At 37.5% G+C, this 19,863-nt stretch overlaps 1 protein-coding gene across 9 annotated transcripts in view; it reads left to right on the forward strand.

The window, feature by feature from the left end:
• Positions 1–19,863, forward strand: part of UBR2 (ubiquitin protein ligase E3 component n-recognin 2) — a 129,477-nt gene that overhangs the window by 13,348 nt on the left and 96,266 nt on the right. For all 9 annotated transcript variants that reach the window (XM_017010594.2, XM_011514438.3, NM_015255.3 and 6 more), the window contains exons 3-4: positions 14,775–14,853; positions 16,815–16,928. In XM_017010594.2, coding sequence (XP_016866083.1) covers positions 14,775–14,853; positions 16,815–16,928 — 193 coding nt within the window. The remainder of the gene's footprint in view (positions 1–14,774; positions 14,854–16,814; positions 16,929–19,863) is intronic.

The raw sequence follows: 19,863 nt of genomic DNA on the forward strand, positions 1-19,863 counted from the left end.
TAAAATTGTGTTGGTCACAAATTATTTTTCTGAAGTCTCCATGATGTCAGAAAAAAGCCATCTGGGTGTTCGTAGGCAGTAAGCTACTTTTTGTGTACTCTATTAGGAAAAGAGTGGTCAAACTTAGCACTTGTTATTCGTTATTAAATAGAAATGGTTTTACAGTGTAAAAAATCTTAGTGGGCAAAAATCTTAGTGTTGATTTTGATAATTGTATATTTTGACATTTTTTATAACCATTAAGAAAAATAAAACGAGTAGAATATGAAATCATACTTTCATGAGTTAAGTTTTTAGCTTAATACTTCTTTTAAGATACGGAGAAGTAAGGTTTCATCCCCCTGTTTTTTTAGTGTAGTTAAATTGAGAACATTCTTTTTTAACATTTAAAAACGTATTACATGAATGTTATACTTAACCAGAAATTGGCATTGGGGGCGGGGGTGGCTTATGCTGCCATCAGGAGTATTTTTGTTTCTAGATAGTATTTTATGATGCTTTATTAACTATTAAATAATTTTGTATAGGCTTTTTTTTTTACTTTAATAGTGGTTTGTATTGGTATATAATAATTGTACATATTTATGGGGTATATGTAATTTTGATACACACACATAAGGTGTAATGATCAAATCAAGGTAACTAGGATATCCATCACTTTGAACATTTATCATTTCTTTCTGTTGGGATGTTTTAACCCTGATTCTGTTGGTCATGACAGTTGAGATTATGCTAAAAATGATAAACAACTCTACAATCCCAAAGACTTTATGTACCAAGATATATTTATTACTCAGACTGTGTGACCAATTCAGATGAGTGGGGTGATAAGTAGAGGGTTCTGCTCCAGGTAGTTTTTTTGACACCATCTTATGTTTCCACAAGCTTACTGTAATGCTTTCAAGGTTCACCACAGCAAGAACAGAATAGAGCTGGTGGATCATTCTCAGCAAATAAATGCTTTGTCTCAGAAATTATGATCTTACCCAAATCCCATTAGGCAAAACTAGGCCTAATGCCTCTATCCAGCAACAGAATAGGTCGGGAAAGTGTAATTCTCCTAAGTCTCAGGGATAGATGAAACTAGGATGTGGATGAGCATTGGAAGTGTCTTTAGCAATGATTTTTTTACGTTTTTTAGGGTGATTTTTCCTCCCTGAGTCATTAGGATAAAATGAAGTAACGTGTATGAAAGCACATAGGTAATTATAGATATGTGTGAGGTTTTTTTTAATTGAATACTCTTCTTCATATAAATTACTGAGCCATGAGTAGCATCTCAAGCAGAGGGGTGCAGATAGTTCTAGTTCCTTTTCTGTCTGGAAGTAATAAAGCTCTCATATGGAAGACCTACGTATTTCCATGAAGAGGGGTTGTTCTTTCAGTTTCTTGCTTTTGAAAAAACTTGAAGTCTTTTCTCTACTTAAAATACAAAAATTAGCTGGGCATGGTGGTTCATGCCTGTAATCCCAGCTACTCAGGAGGCTGAGGCAGGGGAATTGCTTGAACCCAGGAGAGGGAGGTTGCGGTGAGCCGAGATCATGCCATTGCACTCCAGCCTGGGCGAAACTCCATCTCAAAAACACACACACACAAACACACACACACACACACACACACACAAACTTGAAGTCTTGATCTCTTGCAGGATTCTATTTTAAAACTGAGTGTTAGGCTGTTCTTGCATTGCTATAAAGAAATACCTGAGGCTGGATAATTTATAAAGAAAAGAGGTTTAATTGGCTCACAGTTCTGCAAGACTGTACAAGCATGGCATAAACATTTGCTCAGCTTCAGGTGGGGACCTCAGGAAGCTTACAGTCATGGCTGAAGGGGAAAGGGAAGCAGGCACATCACATGGTGAGAGCAGGAACAAGAGGTGAGGAGGAGGTGCCACGCTTTTAAACAACCAGAGCTCACAAAAACTCTCTATTGGGAGAACAGCACCAAGAGGATGGTGCTAAACTGTTCATGAGAAATCCCTCCCATGATTCAGTCACCTCCCACCAGGCCCCACCTCCAACATTGGGGATTACAATTCAACATGAGATTTAGAGGGGACACATATCCAAACTATATCAAGCTATTTCTTTATAATGTGAATAGTCCAGAGATTGGAATCAATGTTGTGTTAGTTTTAAAACCATTGGTTATTTCTTTTTTTGAGACAGAGTCCCATTCTGTCGCTTAGTCTAGAGTACAGTGGCATGATCATAACTCACTGCAGCCTCCAACTCCTGGGCCCAAGTGTTCCTTCCAAGTAGCTAGAACCATAGGCGTGTGCCACCATGCTCAGCTAACTTTTGTATTTTTGTAGAAACAGAGTTTCCCTATATTGCCCAGGCTGGTCTCAAACTCCTGGATCAAGAGATCCTCCCACCTTGGCCTCCCAAAGTGCTGGGATTACAGGTGTGAACCACTGCACCTGGCTGGCATGTGTGATACATGCTGAAATTATACTGTGTATATTACACACATATGAATGAAATTATACTATGTGTATTATAATTGTGGCTTACATTTTTTCACTTAACAGTTTGTTTTGGAGATCTTTTCATGTCAATATATATAAATCTACCTCATTCTTTATAACTGTTTTCATAGTAAGGACAGGCCATAGTTTATTTGATTGACCTAATAATGAAATTAGAAATGGAGATTTCTAGGTTTTTTTTTCTGTAGCAAACAATGCTGCAAGGAATACCCTGCACATGTTTGTGTACATCTCTTTGTACATGTTTCAATAAATACCCAGAGGTAGAATTTTAATTCTGTACGTTATCATGGGGCCTTCAGTATAATGGAATTTCCCTTGTCTACACTGCTCTCTCTGACCTGGGAAAATGCAGTAAATATCTTCTAGATAATTTAGATTTCTGTAGTTGTCTAAAATGAGTCTTATGTTCTTATTTTGGAGATTTGTGATTATTCAGTTTGGTGCAGAATGAAACGTAGAAGTACATGGTGGTATCATCAACTTGGCATGTAGCTAGCTGCCTTTGCCTAGATGGTAAGAAATAATAGAACCATAAAGGCTTTGGGGTAATCCATTCAGGTAGGAAACGCAAATTTATATTACTAAAATTTTATCTCTTGGCCCCTCTGTGAGTTTTGAGTGTTTTTTCTTAAGGGAATATTTACATATGTCAAAAGACAAATCTTAATTGTACATTTTTTTTTTTTGAGACAGTCTCATGCTGTTGCCCAGGCTGGAGTGCAGGGGCACGATCTTGGCTCACTGCAGCCTCCGCCTCCTGGGTTCAAGCGATTCTCCTGCTTCAGCCTCCTGAGTAGCTGGGACTACAGGTGCCCGCCACCACGCCCTGCTAATTTGTTTTGTATTTGTAGTAGAGACAGGGTTTCACCATGTTGGCCAGGATGGTCTCGATCTCCTGACCTCGTGATCTGCCCACCTCGGCCTCTCAAAGTGTTGGGATTACAGGCGTGAGCCACCGCGCCCGGCCTTAATTGTACATTTTTGACAGTAGTTAACCTTATATGATTTATGTATTGTGAAGATAGAGAACTTTCCTGTCTCACTAGAAATTTCCCTGTCATTGGCTCCAGCCGCCTAGGTAACCACTGTGTTGATATTGTCACCTTAGATTACCTTGGGTGGTTCTAGAATTTTTTTTTTTTTTTTTTTTTTTTTTTTGAGACAGGGTTTTGCTCTATTGACCAGGCTGGAGTGCAATGGCATGATCATGGCTCACTGCAGCCTCAACTTCCCAGGTTCAACCTTTCCTCCTGCCTCAGCCTCCCAAATAGCTAGGATCACATGTGTCTGTCACTATGTTGACTAATTTTCTTTTTCCTTTTTTTTTTTTCTCCGAGACGGAGTCTCGCTCTGTCGCCCAGGCTGAAGTGCAGTGGCATGATCTCAGCTCACTGCAACCTCTGCCTTCTGGTTTCAAGCAATTCTCCCACCTCAGCCTCCTGAGTAGCTGGGATTACAGGCACGCACCACCATGCTCAGCTAATTTTTGTATTTTTTAGTAGAGACCGGGTTTCGCCATGTTGGCCAAGCTGGTTTCAAACTCCAGGACTCAAATGATCTGGCCCCCTCGGCCTCCCAGAGTGTTGGGATTACAGGCATGAGCCACTGTGCCCAGCCAACCTGGCTAATTTTTTGAAGAGACAAGGTCTCACTTTGCTGCCCAGGCTCATCTTGAACTCCTGGGGTCAAGTGATGCTCTCCCCTAAGCCTACCAAAGTGTTGTGATTACAGTTATGAGCTACTGCGCCCACCCTGGTTCTAGATCTTATAAAAATGAAATTGTAGTCCTTTTGTGCCTGGCTTCTTCTCAGCATAATGTCTGTCAGATTTATCCATGATGTAATGATTATTAGAAGTTGGTTCCATTTTATTGCTGAGTGTATTTCATTGTATAAATGTGCCACAGTTGCCTACAATCTGTTGTTCTGTTGATGAACATTCGAGTTGTTTCTAAGTTTTGGCTATTATGAATAAAACTTCTATGACCTTCTCTTTTTTAAATGTGCAACACATTAAAATATTAGGCATTGTTATTCTATACTTAACCACATTTTAATGTGTTTTATATACCAAATAACATAAATTTTGCACTGTTAAAAATCTGCAGCTTTTAATGATACATTTTAAGGGCTGGGTGCGGTGGCTCACACCTGTAATCCCAGCACTTTGGGAGGCCGAGGTGGGTGGATCACGAGGTCCGGAGATCGAGACCATCCTGGCTAACATGGTGAAACCCCGTCTCTACTAAAAATACAAAAAATTAGCCGGGCGTGGTGGCGGGCACCTGTAGTCCCAGTTACTCGGGAGGCTGAGGCAGGAGAATGACGTGAACCCGGGAGGTGGAGCTTGCAGTGAGCCGAGATCGCACCACTGCACTCCAGCCTGGGCAACAGGGCGAGACTCCGTCTCAAAAAAAAAAAAAAAAAAAAACATTTTAGGAATGTAAGAAAATTATTTATATTAAGACACCATAAGATAGGCCTTCTAGACTGTAATAATACAGTGAATACTCTTACTTGATACATTGGTTTCAGGATATTACCATTTTTATTCAAGTGTTTTTGTGGACATATGTTTTAATTTTTCTTGGATAAATTCCTAAGAGTGGAATTTCTGGGTAAAAGGGCAGGTATATGTTGAACTTAATAAAAACTGCTAAACCTTTTTTCCAAAAGGATTTTATCTTCTCCTCTAGTAATGTACGAAAGTTCCTGTTGTTTCATATCCTTACCAATAGGTGATGTTGTCAGACTTTTTTTTTAACAAAACAGGAAGACTGTGTTTAATACAGTATGAAATATTTCTTAATTGCAATTATTGTATTATTCCTTACAGAAAAAAACACAAGTCCTTAAAATAATAACCTCATTTAAATTTAAGTTTAATGCATCATACTATTTAAATATCTGCCAGCATATACTACATAGACTGTTTAATTTGCCATTCTATTTAATGATATCTCATTATAGTTCTTTTTTTCTTTTTAAAATTAAAAAAAAAGTCAGTGCGTTTTGGGTATCATTATAGTTTAAATTTTCCTTAATGACGATTTTCCATGTGCTTATTGCCCATTCATCCAGCTTCTCTTGTGAAGTTATTGTTAAGGTCTTTTGTCCATTTTTGGGTTGTTTATCTTTTCATTATCTTTATTCACTTTTGGAGTTCTTTATTCTGAATACAAGTCCTTCGTCAGACTCATTTTGTGACTATTTTCTCCTAGGCTGTGGCTTGTTTCTATGGTGGCTTTTGATGACAGAAGTTTTTAATTTTAATGTTCAATTTACCACTTTTTTTCATGATTATTGTTCTTGTGTCCAGTAAATCTCTGCCTTCTCTCAAATGGCAAAAATAGTTTCTGTGATTTATTTATTTACTTTTATTTATTTATTTTTTGAGACAGTTTTGCTCCTGTTGCCCAGGCTGGAGTGCAATAGCGCAGTCTCGGCTCACTGCAACCTCTGCCTCCCGGATTCAAGCGATTCTCTTCCCTCAGCCTCCCAAGTAGCTGGGATTCCAGGCATGCACCACCAAGCCCAACTAATTTTCTATTTTTAGTAGAGGTGGGGTTTCCCCATGTTGGTCAGGCTAGTCTTGAACTCCCAACCTCATGTGATCCACCCGCCTAGGCCTTCCAAAGTGCTGGGATTACAGGGCTTTTTTTTTTTTTTCTCTGAGACTTGCTCTGTTTCCCAGGCTGGAGTGCAGTGGCACGATCTCAGCTCACTGCAACCTCTGCCTACCAGGTTCAAGCCATTCTCCTGCCTCAGTCTCCTGAGTAGCTAGGACTACAGGCACGCACCACCAGTCCCAGCTAATTTTTTTGTATTTTTAGTAGAGACAGGTTTTCACCATGTTGGTCAGGCTGGTCTTGAACTCCTGACCTCAAATGATCTGCCCACCTCCACCTCCCAAAGTGCTGGGATTGCAGGCATGAGCCACCGCGCCCGGCCTCTCTCTCTAATTTTTTCATGTAAACTTTGTGATTTTAGACTTTATGTCTGGGCCTATGATCTGTCTCAAACTAAATTTTTTATATGGCTTGAGGTAGAGGTTAAGTTTCATTTCTTGACATACAGATATTTAGTTGTTCCAGCATCATTTCTTCCTCTCCCCATTGAATTTTTTTTTTTTTTTTTTTTTTGATACAGAGTTTTGCTCTTGTTGCCCAGGCTGGAGTGTAATGGCGCTATCTCAGCTCACCGCAATCTCCGCCTACTGGGTTCGAGCAATTCTCCCGCCTCAGCCTCCCGAGTAGCTGGGTTATGGGCATGCACCACCATGCCCAGCTAATTTTGTATTTTTTGTAGAGACGGGATTTCTCCATGTTGGTCAGGCTGGTCTCAAACTCCCGACCTCAGGTGATCTGCCCACCTTGGCCTCCCAAAGTACTGAGATTACAGGCGTGAGCCACCTGCACCTGGTTGAGTTGCTTTGATATCTTATAAAAAATCACTTAACCATAAAGTGTGGGTCCATTTCTGAACAGTAATCTAGTTCATTCATTGCTATGTCTATTCTTATGTCAAAGACATTACTTTGATTATTGCAGCTTTATAATAAGTCTTGAACTGATTAGTGTAAGTCTTCCATTTTTGTTCCTTTAAAGTTTGTTTTGTCTATTTCATGTCTTTTGCATTTTATAAATTTTAAAATTAGTTTGTAAATTTCTGTTTTTAAGAAAGACTACCAAGATTAAGATTAGGATTGCATTGAATCTATAGATTAGTTTGGGGTTAATTGACATTTTAACAATACTGAGTTTCCCAAGTCCATAAACATTTTATCTCTCTTCATTTATTAAGGCCTTCTTTAATTCCTTTTAGCAAAGTCTTATAGTTTTTATATAGAAGTTGTACATGCCTTCTGTTATATTTGTTCCTAAATAATTTATGATATTTTTTCTGAATTTTAGTGTCCGTTTATTTTCTGCCATTATGAAGAAATACAGCTGGTTTCTGATATTAACTTTTACCCTGTGACCTTGCTAAATTCACTTGCTAGTTCTGGTGTTTTTGTTTTGTTTTTTGTTTCTTAGGATTTTCCTATAATTATGTCTTCTATGAATGGAGACAGTTTTACTTTTTCTTTTCTAATCTTTTTGCCTTTCTTGTGCTCCATTGCTCTGGTGAAAGTGGATATTCTTTCCTTGTTCCCAATCTTAGGGAGAAATTCAGTCTTTCACTATTAAATATGATGTTAAGTATAATTGTCTCATACAACTTTTATCTCATTGAGGAAGTTCCCTTCTATTCCTAGTTTACCTAGGTTTTTAAAAAAATCATAAATGACTATTTCATGTTGTCAAGTACCTTTACTGCATCTATTGAGATGATCATAGTTTTTCTTTTTTATTCCATTAGTTTGGTTGATTGCATTGTTTGATTTTTCACATTTTTTTATTACTGGATGAATCCGGCTCTATTATCATGAATTATAACTTTTGTATATTGCTGGATTCAACTCGTTAATGTTGTGTGAAGGATTTTTGTCTCTGTGTTCCATAGAATATACCCATCTGGCATTCTCTTGTAATGTGTTTGTCCGGTCTTGGTTGTTAGGGTTATACTGGCCTTGTAAAACGAATTGGGATATATTCCTTCTTCCTTATTTCTGGAAGTATTTATGTAAAATTGGTATGACTTTTTCTTAAATGTTTGATAGAATGTGCCAGTAAAATAAATCATCAAGGCCTAGGGTTTTTTTGCAAGGAAGTATTTGGTAACGATTCAATTTCTTTGATGTTTATTAGGGTTTTTTATAATTTTATTTCATCTTCTGTCAGTTTTGGCACTATATATTTTTCAAGGAATATATTTCATCATATAATGTCAAATTGACATAAAATTGTGCCTATTTCCTTTTGCTTTTGATGTCTGTGGTGTCTATAATGATGTCTCTTTCATTCCTGGTAATAGTAATTTGTATTTTGTCTTTCAAATCAATTTAATTTTGTCAAATAATAAGTTTTTAGCTTTGTTATTTTTGTCTTTTATCTATTTTGTTTTATTGATTTCTACTCTTATTATTCTTCCTTCTGCTTAGTTTGGATTTATGGTCTTATATTTTTTGACCCACAGGTTATTTAGAAGTGCATTGCTAAACTTCCATGTATTTGAGGCTTTCTTAGATAACATATTGTAACTTATTTCTAACAAAATTACACATTCTGTATGGTTTCAGTTTTGAAATTTATTGAAACTTGTTTTATGGACCCAGCAAGGTGGCTCACGCTTGTAATCCTGGCACTTTGGAGGGCTAAACTGGGTGGATAGCTTGAGCCCAGGAGTTCAAGACCAGCCTGGGCAACATGTCGAAACCCCATCTCTACCAAAAAAAAAAAAATACAAAAATTAGCTGGACATAGTGGAGCACACCTGTAGTCCCAGCTATGTGGGAGGTTGAGTTGAGCCCAGGAGTGGGAGGTTGCAGCGAGTTGAGATTGTACCATGGTGCTCTAGCCTGGGCAACACAGCCAGACCTTGTCTCAACAAACAAAACTTGAAACTTGTTTTATGGTTCGGCAACATGGTCAGTCTTATTCCATGTGCATTTGAAAAGAAGGTATATTTTGCAGTTGTTGGATGTAATTATTGATATGCTTATAATTATTAATGTATTTGTTGATTTAGGTCTACCATTTGCTATTTGTTTTCAGTTTGTCTCTCTTTTTTTTTTTTTTTTTTTTGTTCCTCTGTTCCTAATTTTCCTAACTGTGTGCTGCCTTTTGGGTTAATTAGAATTGTAGCATTTCGTTTTGATTATTTTTTTGGCTCTTTAGCTGTTCTCTCACATTTTTTAAAATGGTAACTCTAGGGATTATAATATGCATCTTTAATTTATCAAAGTCTGTTTTTACTACTTCGTGTAAAATAAACGAACCTTGCATTTATAGTTACATTTATTCCTCTCATCTTTTCTGCTTCTTGTCATATATATTGCACCTATAAACTTTTTTTTTTTTTTTTTGAGACAGAGTCTCACTCTGTCGCTGAGGCTGGAGTGCAGTGGCGCAATCTCGGCTCACTGCAACCTCGCCTCCCAGACTCAAGTGATTCTCCTGCCTCAGCCTCCCGAGTAGCTGGGATTACAGGCACCGCCACCACGCCTGGCTAATTTTTGTATTTTTAGTAGAGACGGGGTTTCACCATGTTGGCCAGGCTGGTCTTGAACTCCTGACCTCAGGTAATCCACCTGCCTGAGCCTCCCAAAGTGCTGGAATTACAGGCATGAGCCACCATGCCCGGCCAAAATGTTATAAACCTTACAATGCAATGTTACAATTTTTGCTTTAACACATTAGTCTTTTAAAGATATTAAGAAAAGACAGGAAAAAATATGTATAAGCATTAATATTAACCCACATATATCTTGCTCCCAGGGATCTTCATTCTTTCCTGGACTAGAGGTTGGGAAGCTTTTTCTGTAAAGATCCAAGTAGAAAATATATTTGCAGTCTTTGTTGCATATTCTTCTTTTAATTTTTTTTCTTTCTTTTTTTGAGATGGAGTCTTGCTCTGTCCATTTCCCAGGCTGGAGTATAGTGGCATAACCACAGCTTACTGCAGCCTTGACCTCCCAGGTTCAAGCAATCCTCTCACCTCAGCCTCCCAAGTAGCTGAGACTACAGGTGCATGCTGCCATGTCTGGCTAATTTTTAAATTTTTTGTAGAGATGGGGTCTCACCGTGTTGCCAGGGCTGGTCTCAAACTCCTGGGCTCAAGTGATCCTCCCGCCTCAGCCTCCCAAAGTTCTGGGATTACAGGCATGAACCACCAAGCCCAGACTTCTTTTTTTAAATAGCTGTTTAAACATGTAAAAATCATTCTTAGTTGCAGGTTGAACCAGAGGCTGTGGACCATTGTTGTTGACTTTTACTGTGGATTCTAATTATTAGTTATCTCAGTTTATGTTTATCTGAACATGTTTTTATTGTCTATGGCCATACCACCCTGAATGTGCCCGATCTCATCTGAAAATGTTTTTATTTTGCACTTATTTTTTTCTCCCTTTTTTTATTCTGGGAAAAACACACTCTTTCTCTACATTCTCATGCAACGCTTCTGACACCAGGTATGTGGGTTTTTTTACCCTAAGGATTTCTCCAACTCTGAATATTGGCTGGGTATCTTACAATTTAATTCAATTCAACTCTGACCCTGTCTACCAGGTGTTATTGTCAGAATCCAAAGGCTAAGAGCTCAGTTTCACAAGTCTGCCCCCTACTTTAGACACCAGTTGCAATTAATGGTCATCTATACTTCTGATTGACTGGCTATATATTGGGGTCTCCATTAGCTCCTCTTTGGGTTGGATTAAGTTGCTAGGACAGCTTACAGATATTATAAAGGATACAGAAGAACAGCCAGATGGAAGAGACTTAATAGGGCAAGGTGTGGGAGAAAGGGTGAGGAGCTTCCATGCCCTCTCTGGGCATGCCACCCTCCTAACACCTCAGTCCCAGGGTGAAGTTCCAGCAACTTGGAAGTTCATTAAACTTTGTCGAATTTTTATAGGGGCCAGGCATGGTGGCTCATACCTGTAATCCCAGCACTTTGGAAGACCGAGGTAGGAGAATCACTTGAAGCTAGAAGTTTAAGACTAGCCTGGACAACATACCAAGATGCTGTCTCTGCAAAGGAAAAATAGCCAGGCATAGTGGCTTGAGCCAGTAGTTCCATCTACTCGGGAGGCTGAAGTGGGAGGATTGCTCAAACCCAGGAGTTTAAGGTTGCAGTGAGCTGTGATCAGGCCACACTGCACTCCAGCCTGGGTGACAGAGCTAGACCCTATCCCAAGAAACAACAACAACAACAAAAAGTTTTTATAATAAAGAGCTTAATCTCCAACCCCACCCCTCCCCTCTTCCGAGATTTTGGTGGGTGAGTCTGAAAGCTCCAGCCCTCTTGGTCGTGGTCTTTCTGGTAACTGGCCCTGTACTGAGGCTGTCTAGGGGCTCTACACTAAGTCACCTCACAAGCATAAACTCAGATTTCTCGCCATTAAGTGATGTTAGCTGTAGGTTTTTTTGTAGTTATTCCTTGTCAAGTTGAGAAATATTCCTCAATATTCCTCTTCTGCTGAGAGTTTTTATTATGAATGGGCATTGTATTTTGTCAAATCCTTTTTTTTCTTCCAAAGATAGAGTTATCCAGGCTGGAGTGCAGTAGCGAGATCATAGCTCACAGCAGTCTTAAACACCTGGACTTGGGATCCTCCAGCCTCATAGCTGGTACTACAGGCACACCACTGTGCCTAGCTAATTTTTATAAAAAATTTTTGCAGAGATGGAGTCTTAGTTTGTTGCCCCAACTGGTCTAACTCCTGGCTTCAAGCGATCCTCTCACCTCAGCCTCCCAAAGTGCTGGGATTACAGGTGTGAGCCACTGCACCAACTATCAGATGCTTTTCTGTGTGTAATTTTTCTTCTTTAGCCTGTTAATGTGATAGATTTACATGATTTTCAGATGTTGAGCCAGCCTAGCATACATGGGATAAATTCTACTTGGTTATAGTGTAGAATTCTTTTTATACGTTGTTGGATTCAATTTGCTAATACTTTGTTATTTTCATGAAAGAGATTGGTCTGTATTTTTCTTGAATTGTCTATATCTGATTTTGACATTAGAGCGACGCTGGCCTAATAGAATGAGTTAGGAAGTATTCCCTCTGCTTCTGTCTTCTAGAAGAGATTGCATAGAGCTAGTATAATTTCTTCCTTAAACATTTGATAGAATTCACCAGTGAACCCATGTGAGCCCAGTGCTTTTGATTTTGAAGGTTATTAGTTCTTGACTCAATTTCTTTAATAGATATAGGCCTGTTCAGATTGTTTGTACTCATTTTTGAAGGATATTTTTCCTGAATATTGAAGTCTGGATAGACTGTTTCTGGTTTTCTTCCTTTTCAACGTTTTAAAGATCATGATCCAATGTGTTCTGAACCCTGTTGTTTTGTTGATGTTAGCTGTTACTGGCATATCTATGTACCTTGTGTGAAATGTGTTGGATTTTTCTAGCTGCCTTGAAGATTTTCTTGTTATTTTTGAATGTTAGCAGTTTGACTATGATAGGCCTAAATATCTTTTTTGTATTTATTCTCTTGAGGTTTGTTTTTAGCCAATGTCTTCCACCAAATTGCTAAGTTTAGGTTATTATTTCTTCAAATATTTTTTCTGCCTTTGTTCCATTCCGAAGACTCCAGTTACACAGTAGTATAATTGAGTAACTAATTAGTACATGTATTAATATTATGTTAAAATAATATATGTGTAATATGAATATATTTACATAGAGATAGATACTGCATACACAAAACATTTTAATACAAGGGTATATGATTGTAAAAGCTTGGAGATGATGGCTTTAGACAAATCACTAAGATCTCAGGGATCCTTGAGTGCTCCAGATGCACTGGCTTTGGCCCTACATACTTTTAATACGGTAGTCAACAATCAATACTATAACTGTACACATTTGTCTTTTCTGTTAAATGATAGCTAAATGAGGACAAGACTCTAGCTTTACTTTTCTTTATATGAAAGCAAAAAGACTGGCTCTCAGATTGATATTTAAACATCCACAAGTATTGTCTATAAGAGGCAAACTAAAATAGAAAGTCATTGAAAGTGGGAAGAGAAACAGTTAAGAAAAAAATACCAGGCAAATAATATGTTACAAAAGAAAATTAAAGTAGCAGTTTTCATATAAAAGACACAAATAGACATTGTATGCTGGTAAAGAGAGCAGTAGGTAAAGAAAAAATATCCATAATGAACATTTATGCACCTAACTGTACACTGTTTACAGCCTTGGCATATATCAAGTGATAACTAGTAGGACTGCAGGGAGAAATGGAAAAATCAACAATTCTAGTTAAAGACTTTTAACACCTTCCTCACAGGAAGTGATAAAGAAGATAAAAAGCAGAGTGATCTAAGATTTGAACAATAAAATTAATAAACTTGCTATCAAATATCTAGAGAACTCTGTCCCAACAGAATATATATTCTTTCAAGTACACACAGAACAATTACAAATTAATCTGTATAGTACTGGCCTAAGGATAGACATAGATGAGTGGAATAGAAAAGAGAATTAGGCCAGGTGCGGTGGCCCATGCCTGTAATCCCAGCACTTTGGGAGGCCAAGGCAGGCAGATCACTTGAGGCCAGGAGTTTGAGACCAGCCTGGCCAACATGGCAAAACCTCGTCTCTAGTAAAAATACAAAAATTAGCTGGGCATGGTGGCACACACCTGTACTCCCAGCTACCAGGGAGGCTGAGATGGGAGGATTGCTTGAGTCCAAGAGGTTGAGGCTGCAGTGAGCCATGAGCATGCCACTGCACTCCAGCCTGGCTCAATAAAAAGAACAAAAGACTCTTCTGTCACCCAGGGGATTTCTGTGTCTGTAACTAGGGTTAAAGACTAAATTTTAGCCCATCTACTAGCACCCTTATCTACAAGAGTTTTAGGAGCCTGGTGTCAGGAACCAGGGGCAGGAACCAATATAGATTTCTTATTTTACACTCCCCATTTCATTTCATGGAATTGTCTAGATTCTCTTAAGATATGATCTATAAATGTATCTAACTGGCAGTATGAAGAAAGCAAATGAAACAACTCAGGGCACCCCAACCAACCTTTTGAAACTCTTCAGTCAGGATATCTTATGGGCCATATGTGTTGTGTGAATACCAGAAATAGGGGCCATGTGAGGAGACCTGTATCATTCAGTGCAGTGAACCTATAGAAGGTTTAATTTCCCTTTTTAGTTAAAATTTAAGTAGAAATGTAAGTTCAAATATTGTCTTCTTGCATTTCAGTTGATACTTCTGCCTTTCTAGGGATGTATACATATCACTTTGAAGACCCTTGGTCTCAAATACCTGTTTGGAAGAAGTTATTTGAAATTCCAATATATGAATCTTAAGAATTCATAAATATTTTGAGTATATTTCATATACATCTATGTGTTTTAATGTGTAATGTGATTTCCACAAATCTATGGGAAAACACACCATTACATTAAAATTTACTGTTCTAATAATATGTGCCTTGAAAGACTCCCTAGCACACATCCATTATGGAGACGCAGGTCCTTAAACTGCTTTCATTGATCAAAGATCTGACAGATCTTTGGGAATGATACTTCCTTTTTTAAAACACCAAAAAACTTCACGTTTTCATTCTTTTAGGATGGATTCCAATTTGAAATAATTCTGTTGTGAAATATATAGTTATTTTCTGACACTTTGATTTTTTTTTTTTAACTTTACAGAGACTGTGCAGTTGATCCAACTTGTGTTTTGTGCATGGAGTGCTTTTTGGGAAGTATTCACAGAGATCATCGATATAGGGTTAGTAATGTCCAAATAATAACCATGCGCAGTATTGCATTTTATAATAAATATCTTTTCTTTCTTTTCAAAATGCAAAGATTTAACACTAAAATGGGGGGAGGGTGGTTTAAACAGTGTGTTTATTTAAATACCATTGGATATAGGGTGCCAGTGTAGAAACAAATTATGAATCCACACTTCTTGGAGCATATGATTTAAAAAAGATAATAGAGATATCAGCTCTTCTGTATTGGTTTTCAACTAGTTTGTTTTTGCTATTTTTTAATGTTTATTAAAGAGGCATCTACTACAATGTAGGAGAGGACCCAACTCCAGCACCTACGACCCACCAGTTTAGTATTTTTTCACTGCTGTAATGCTGTCAGTACTTTTCAAAATTCAGGTATGTTTGTTTGCTTTTAAGTCAGGGACACAGATAAATACAGATTATTCCAAATCCTGTCCTGGTTCCTCTATTGGAAATTGAAGACAGACCATGGAGATTCAAAGGGTAGGGTTGTTAGATGGAACTTTTCACCCTAATCATAAAACAGAATGGTAGAGAGGAATATTTTAATATTATTCTTAATTCAGGAGCCCATCTGGGTCAGAACTTTTCCTCCTGTTTGTTTTTATTTACTCTACCCAGGAGTTCATAATAATGAACTAAAACAGCTACGGGGCCGGGCGCAGTGGCTAATGCCTGTAATTCCAGCACTTTGGGAGGCCAAGGCAGGCGGATCACGAGGTCAGGAGATCAACACCATCCTGGCTAACAATGGTGAAACCCCATCTCTACTAAAAATGCAAAAATTAGCCAGACATGGTGGCGCATGTCTGTAATCCCAGCTGCTCGGGAGGCTGAGGCAGGAGAATCACTTAAACCTGGGAGGCGGAGGTTGCAGTGAGCTGAGATCACACCACTGCACTCCAGCCTGGGCGACAGAGCGAGACTCCATCCCAAAATAAAAAATAAAAATAATAAAAACCCAGCTACAAAATTGGGCTACTTATATTCTTGTCTGTTCATTAGTCTCATAAATCAGTAAAAGAGGCCCAGTTTCCTTTAAGCTGTTCTGCCTGTGTTTGGTAACTGAAACAAGCACGTGTCATTTTCCAAATGACTCCTACCCACATTTCTTGGCATATATCTTTGCATTCCCTGGGAATAGTTGTCATTTATAGGGTTACATTAATTATATTGTGATATATAACACAAATACTTACTTTGGGCAGAATATAATAGGGCTTATTCTAAAATTTGCTGTATCTAATACCTGTTAGTAAGCTCTTCCTCATACTATTTTAAGAAAAGCAGAATTTCTAGTCTACCAATTATTAATTCTGGTTCTGTGATGCCAGATTTCTTAAATCATTGCCCTGTCTTAAGGAATTATGAATAATTCCTGAACATTGCAGGTGGTGAAAAGCTTTTATTAGGCAGTCTACTTTTGCATTTCCTGAGCCCCTATTACTTGTCCTTTCAAAGAGTGGCTATTTAAGGTGTATTAGAGAAGAAAAATTAACTATTTCTATAGTCTTTGTTGGTTAATTTCTCCAAAGCAAATGCAGCACCCTTAGACTCTAGGAGACAGCAACTAGAGGAATCTGTATAACCCCTGAGTCTATTGTGTTTATAGCATCACAACCTGTAGCGTAGATATCAGCATTATACCAATTTAACCAAAACCCAGCAAGAAAACCCTTGTGATCCTCATGATTTTCCTAATTAAGGAAGTCATGTAGGCAAACATTACAAAGTAGCTTATTTTATTTTGAAATCACTTAGATTAGCTTATAGGCTTATTTAAAATAAACTTTAAAACATTGAGAGGTTTGGCATTTTATCTAATTTTATGCCTCCAAAGAAATTAAACACTTAAGCAATGGTATTTCCTTAGCACTTGATATTCTTATTTATTATCTGATAGCCCTCAGTAAATATTTATTGACAAGATACTTTACAATTTTTTTCCAAGATGACAACATCAGGAGGTGGAGGTTTCTGTGACTGTGGTGATACTGAAGCCTGGAAAGAGGGTCCTTACTGTCAAAAACATGAACTTAACACCTCTGAAATTGAGGAAGAAGAGGTAAAAACATTTTCACAAAGTTGTTTTTAACCCAAGTTTGAAATATTTTGAGAAATAGTCATTAGATGATGTGAGAAATGGATAAGCAAATAGTACTTCCACTATTGACAGTGACTAGTTTACTTTGAAAGTTCTTTGCATTTTGTGGATGCTGTACGGTTGCTAATAGTACACAGTTGAAATTTGGGAAATTTCATTTAATTCTGATTTTTTATTTGGTTGGGGTTTTGTTTTAAGCATACTTGAAGTTTATTTGAGTACTAACCTATGGTTGAGAGGATTATTTTTCCCATATGTGTAGACCAGTTAACCAAGTTGAGTTTTGTATATCTTTATTATAACAAAGACTTTTGGGGCCAGATAGCTTTCTTTTCTGTTACCATACATGACAGCCAATCCCAATCATCATCTCCTGGTTTCCATTATCATTGGTTATGTGATGGGACCATGTGTAGTGATGATAGCTCAGTACAAATAATTCCCACTGCTTACTGTGTTTTTCAAATTGTTGATCCTGCATTATTTTTCTTAAATGGATTTGTAATGGAATAGTAGAGTCCCACAAAATAAATGCTTAAATCTCTGCTGCTTTTTTTAAAACTTCAAAAACTTTCCATATATTTCTAATAACTCACTTAACTGTAATTATACAATGATTAAATCTTTCAATGGTATGCTACAATAGATTATGTTTTATTATTTTTAATTGACAATAATTGTACATATTTATGGGGTACAGCGTGATATTTATGGGGCACAGTGTGATATTTTGATACATATATACAATGTGTAATGAGCAAATCAGGGTAATTAACATATCCATCACCTCAAGCATTTAACATTATTTGGTTTTGGAAACCTTCACCATCCGCTCTTCTAGCTATTTGAAAATATACAGTAAATTGTTAATTATAGTCATGCTATAGTGCTGTAGAACATTAGAACTCATTCTTTCTATCTAGCTTTGTTCTTGTATCCGTTAGCCAACCTGTGGCAGTCCCTCTTCTGCTACATTTTATGACAATTTGTTGTATAGTTCAAGATCCTTCTTTCAGATTTTATTTTTAAATGGCAGGGGAATAGGTACACTCAAGTACGTCTACATTGTTAGTAGGCCTGATATAGATTTGGGGCAAGTGGACATCAATAGTCCTTCCTCAGCCAGGCAAGGTGGCTCATACCTATAATACCAATACTTTGGGAAGCCAAGGCGGGTGGATCACTTTAACCCAGGAGTTTGAGACCAGCCTGGGCAAATGGCAAAACCCCATCCCTACAAAAAATACAAAAATTAGTTGGGTGTTGTGGCACGTGCCTGTGGTCCCAGCCACTTGGGTTGGGGGTGCTGAAGTGGGATCCGCTTGAGCCATAGGAGGCAGAGGTTGCAGCAAGCCAAGATCATGACCCTGTCTTTAAAAAAAAAAAAAAAAAAGTTCTTCCTGGTACCCATATCCTACAGGTCTCAAATATATTTTATCAGAATGACCAAAGCTTTTGATGTACAAATCAAAATTTATACAAAATGATTCAGTGCTATGGAAAACATGTTTTGTTTTTCATTTGCTTTGTGAAAGGGTTCTGTAATTTGCTACAGTAAGATGCCAAGTGGTCAAGGTTCCAGATTTTTCCACTTCTATTGGAGAAGCTCCATTTTTATATAGTTGATTGGGGTTCTGTATGTAGAAATACAGGACAAATAAAGATATATTTGAAAAAAAAGAATTGTGCTTTAGAAAAAGGTTAAAAACCACTGGTATAAAACTTTAGGACTGCAGGAGAAAGTATATGTGTGTATATCCAAGCCATGTATCCAAAAAGGATCTAGTATGCAGAGTTTATATCTTACAACTCAGCAAGTAAAAAGATAACCCAATTTAAAAATGGGCAAAAGACTTGAATAGACATTTTTACAGAGAAGATATATGAATAATCAACAAACACATGAAAAGATGCTGAACATCATTAGTCATTAGGGAAATGCAAAATCAAAACCACAGTGAGATACTGCTTCACCCTCAGTAAGATGACTATTAAAGTAATAACAAGTATTGACAAGGATATAGAGAAATTAGAACCCTTGTATATTGCTAGTGGAAATATAAAATGATTCAGTGCTGTGGAAAACAGTTTGGCTGTTCCTCAAAATATTAAACATTACCGTATATTTCACACCTAGATATATACCCAAAAGAACTGAAAACCGAAGTTGAGCAAGTACATGCACACACATGTTGTAGCAATGTTGTTCACAATAGTCAAAAGGTAGAAACAGCCCAAATGTCCATCAGTGAATGAATGGATAAACAAATTGTGATAATATACATACAATGGAATATTTTTCGTCCATAAAAAGGAATGAAGAACTGATACATGCTACAACATGCATGAACCTCTAAAACATATTAAGTGAAAGACGCTAGACTCAAAAGGTCACATATTGTATGATTCCTTTTATATGAAATATTCAGAATAGGTAAATCTGTAGAGAGAAAAAACAGATTGGTAGTTGCCAGGGGCTGGGGAAGAGGAAAATGGAGAGAAATGGCTTAGTAGGTAAGGGGTTTTACTTTGGAGTGATGGAAATGTTTTGGAACTAGATTGTAGTAGTTGCACGTTATAATAAATGTACCAAGTACCACTGAGTTGTTCACTTTAAAATGGTTAATTTTATGTTCTGTAAATGTCATGTCATTTATTTGGAAAAGATACTTTAGGACTTCTGTTACCTTTTTTATCCCTGTGTTAGAGTAGACTTAAAATAATTTTCTAATGAAAAGTTTTGAATCTGCCTACATTTGCTCTGTTGGCTTTATCCTCATACATTAGTGGGATGGCTATCCAACAGTCCAAGCTCTACTTAATTTCCTGAATTTTAAGAAGACACCAGCAAGCTCCCCTGCCTAGCCAAAAGTCATACAATCCTGCCTGGAGAATG

The sequence above is a fragment of the Homo sapiens genome, chromosome 6, assembly GCF_000001405.40.
Source record: "Homo sapiens chromosome 6, GRCh38.p14 Primary Assembly".
In the NCBI taxonomy this organism is placed as follows: Eukaryota; Metazoa; Chordata; class Mammalia; order Primates; family Hominidae; genus Homo; species Homo sapiens.